The 3,642-nt window shown below is 51.9% G+C and overlaps 1 annotated feature.

Moving 5' to 3' along the window:
• Positions 1,856 to 2,356: an enhancer, noted in NCBI's record as "H3K4me1 hESC enhancer chr22:44301043-44301543 (GRCh37/hg19 assembly coordinates)". NCBI's record gives its function as "activates a minimal SCP1, AML or CMV promoter by ChIP-STARR-seq in primed H9 embryonic stem cells {active_cell/tissue: H9 hESC(primed)}" and the evidence as "EXISTENCE:reporter gene assay evidence [ECO:0000049][PMID:30033119]".

Genomic DNA, 3,642 nt, shown 5'->3' with positions numbered 1-3,642 from the left:
GGGCAGGGTTCTCAGGTGCCCCAGGGCCTGACCACATCCCATGGAGGAGCCACAGCTGCTTGGTATGAGTATAGAGAGAGCCCACAGCCCACCGCAGGACTCAGATGCCATTTGGGAAGAGGGGGGCCTGAAGCACAACCTGTAGGAAGAAAGAGGGGAGGGGTCAGCAGGACATGAAACAACTCCATCCCCAACCCTCTGAACCAACAGGCACCCTGGCACCCGAACAGGTTGGCACCCATTGGGGCAGGGCCCAATCACTACTCTAGGCAAAGGGAGGGGACACCAATTAGGGCCCAGACCTCCTAATTAGAGGCCTCCGATCTGGCCCAGACCCACTGTGTGGCCTTGGCCGAGCCACGCCCTTGCTGCTTCAGTTTCCCCACCTATAAAGTGGGAATAAGAAGGCCAGAGCTCCAACGTCACAGCTGAGCCACACACAGAGGACCAAATGAAACAGGTGCCTGGGGTAGCTCTGCAGAACCTCCAAGCCTCGTGCTGTCCCAGGCACACTTTCCATTTGCTCTGTGCTAAAAAGTAAAGGCTTCTGGCTGCTACAGAGGTGAATTTCTTTTTTTCTTTTTTTTGAGATGGAGTCTCGCTTTGTCACTCAGGCTGGAGTGCAGTGGTGCCATCTCGGCTCACTGCAAGCTCCACCTCCTGGGTTCATGCCATTCTCCTGCCTCGGCCTCCCGAGTAGCTGGCAGTACAGGTGCCCGCCACCATGCCCAGCTAATTTTTTTGTATTTTTAGTAGAGATGGGGTTTCACTGTGTTAGCCAGGATGGTCTCCATCTCCTGACCTCATGATCCGCCCGCCTTGGCCTCCCAAAGTGCTGGGATTATAGGCATGAGCCACTGTGCCCGGCCGAATTTTTTTTTTTTTTAATGAAACAAAACAAAACAAAACAAAACTGAGGACCAGGTGTGGTGGCTCTTGCTTGTAATCCCAGCACTTTGGGAGGCCAAGGCCAGAGAGAATCACTTGAGCCCAGGAGCTTGAGACCAGCCTGGGCAACACAGTGAGACCCCCATCTCTTAAAAAAATTTATTTTTTAATTAACAGGACATGGAGGCACGCACTTGTAGTCCAAGCTAGTTAGGAAGCTAAGGTGGGAGGATCGCTAGAAACCTGGAAGTTTGAGGCTGCTGTGAGCCATGACTGCACCTCTCCACTCCAGCCTGCACAACAGAGGAAGACCCTTTCTCAAACATAAAATAAATAAATAAATGATAATTAAGGGCTTAGATTGAGGGGGCCTTGCACATCTGGGCTCTGCTGTTAGTTCTTACAGCTTAAAGGACACATATTATAGCACATCGCTGTAGACCTGTTGGGAGCATGTTTATCAGGAATTTATCTGTTTTCTCATTATCTAAAACACTGGGCTCCCACCCCCAGCCCCCACCAAAAAATAAACAATTATTCCATCCAACACTTACTGAGTCTCTGCAGCCTCGTGGAAGACAGATGGTGTGGCGGATGTGGGGATTGGCCACAGGGTCAGATGAAGCAAGCTTAACACCACAGACAGCTCTGTGACCTCGGGCAGGGCTGAGAAGTGGGGATGAGACCTCCTCCCTGGAAGGGTCGCTGTGACGATTCCATTAATGTCTCCACAGAACATGCTGGACAGCGCCTGGCATGGGGTAGATGTTCAAGAAACAGTAACTGCTAGCGTTACAATCACTGTGACTGCTAAGATTATAATTAACACTGTTTTCCAGAGGGATTCATGGTCCCTGCTTTCTGGAAGTTTCTGGGTTGGTGGCCAAAACACATAAATTTATAATCAAAAATAGGAAGAGCTCTAGCAGAGTAGCACAGGACAATTGTGGCTTTAATAACGAATTATAACGGCGTGTACTGTGACAGCACGCTACGTCGTAGGCACTGAGGGCAGGAGGTGCACCTGGATTTTGTGTCATGCTCATCATAGTAACTCCGTGAGATCCGTGGTACTATTACCCCTCTTCTATGGATGAGGAAACTCAGGCCCAGAGCATCGTACCCAGGACCCACAGCTAGCTAAGAGGTGGAACCAGCGTTTGAACCCAGGTTGTCAGATTATCTCCTCACTAAGGGAATGGCCACCTCAGGTGGGAGGGAGGAAAGGGAGTCAGGGCGGGCTTCTCGGAGGAGGTGACGTTGCATGCACCTGCACACACCCCCTGGGGCAGGCCAAGGAGGCTGATGGATGAGTGCGGGAGGGAAGCATCCCTCCTGGCCCTGGCCTCAGACCCCCTGGTGTCTGGCCCTGCCAGGCTTGTGCCCTCTGCCAGCCTTGTGCCCCTGCCAGCCTTGTGCCCTCTGCCAGCCTCTCTGGCTTAGCAGCACAACCCATTGTCCTCAATGCCACAGTCCCCTCCCCTGGTGACTGACAAGCCCCTGGGCAGAGCCGCTCACCTCTGACCAGGTGGCCAGTGCCGAGACAGGACGCACTGGTAGGAGGCGGCCGGCATGAGCCAGAAGCAACTCTCTGCCCCACGGCTTCCCTCAGGGCTGGATGGGAAGAGACCAGAAATACTTTTTTTTTTTTTTTGAGATGGAGTCTCACTCTGTAGTGCAATGGTGTGATCTCGGCTCACTACTGTGGGTGGCAAGCCACCCAGGCGCCAAGGCAAGAGACAGAGGACACGAACTGTTCCAGTATAATAAAATATAAAACAAGAATAGTTATACCAGATATAGATCTTAGATATGATTATATATGAATATCATTAATCATTAGTTTGTAGCAATTACTTTTTATTCCAATGTTATAATAATCCTCTCTCTATAATCATAGCCTAGGAAAAACCAGGCCATACAGAGATAGGAGCTGAGGGGACATAGTGAGGTGTGACCAGAAGACAAGAGTGCGAGCCTTCTGTTATGCCCGGACAGGGCCACCAGAGGGCTCCTTGGTCTAGCGGTGATGCCAGCGTCTGGGAAGATGCCTGTTACCAGGCGGACCGTGGTCCAGCGGTAGCAAAAGGTGTCAAGGAACAACACCCGCTACTTAGCAGACCGGGAAAGCGGGTCTCCCTTTACCCGGGGGAGTTTAGAGAAGACTCTGCTCCTCCACCTCTTGTGGAGGGCCTGGCATTAGTCAGGCTCGCCTGCAGTTATCCAGAGGCCTAACCGTCTCCCTGTGATGCTGTGCTTCAGTGGTCACGCTCCTAGTCTGCCTTCATGTTCCATCCCGTACACCTGGCTCTGCCTTCTAGATAGCAGTAGTAAATTAGTGAAAATACTAATAGTCCCTGGTATGCAGAAATAATGGTGTAAGCTGTCTTTCTCTCTGTCTCCTCTCCTTCTCTGCCTCGGCTGCCAGGCAGGGAAGGGACTCCTGTCCAGTCGACACGTGACCCACGTGACCTTACCTATCATTGGAGGTGACTCACATTCTTTACCCTGCCCCTTCTGCCTTGTATCCAATAAATAACAGCGCAGCCCGACATTCGGGGCCACTACCGGTCTCCACGCATTGGTGGTAGTGGTACCCCTGGCCCAGCTGTCTTTTCTCTTATCTTTTTGTCTTGTCTTTATTTCTACACTCTCTCGTCACCGCACACAGGGAGAGACCCACCGACCCTGTGGGGCTGGTCCCTACACACTACAGCCTCTGTCTCCTGGGTTCAAGCAATTCCCCTGCTTCAG

The sequence above is a fragment of the Homo sapiens genome, chromosome 22, assembly GCF_000001405.40.
Source record: "Homo sapiens chromosome 22, GRCh38.p14 Primary Assembly".
Classification (NCBI taxonomy): domain Eukaryota; kingdom Metazoa; phylum Chordata; class Mammalia; order Primates; family Hominidae; genus Homo; species Homo sapiens.
The sequence above is the reverse complement of the archived record's forward strand: the minus strand, read 5'-3'. Positions and strand labels throughout refer to the sequence as shown.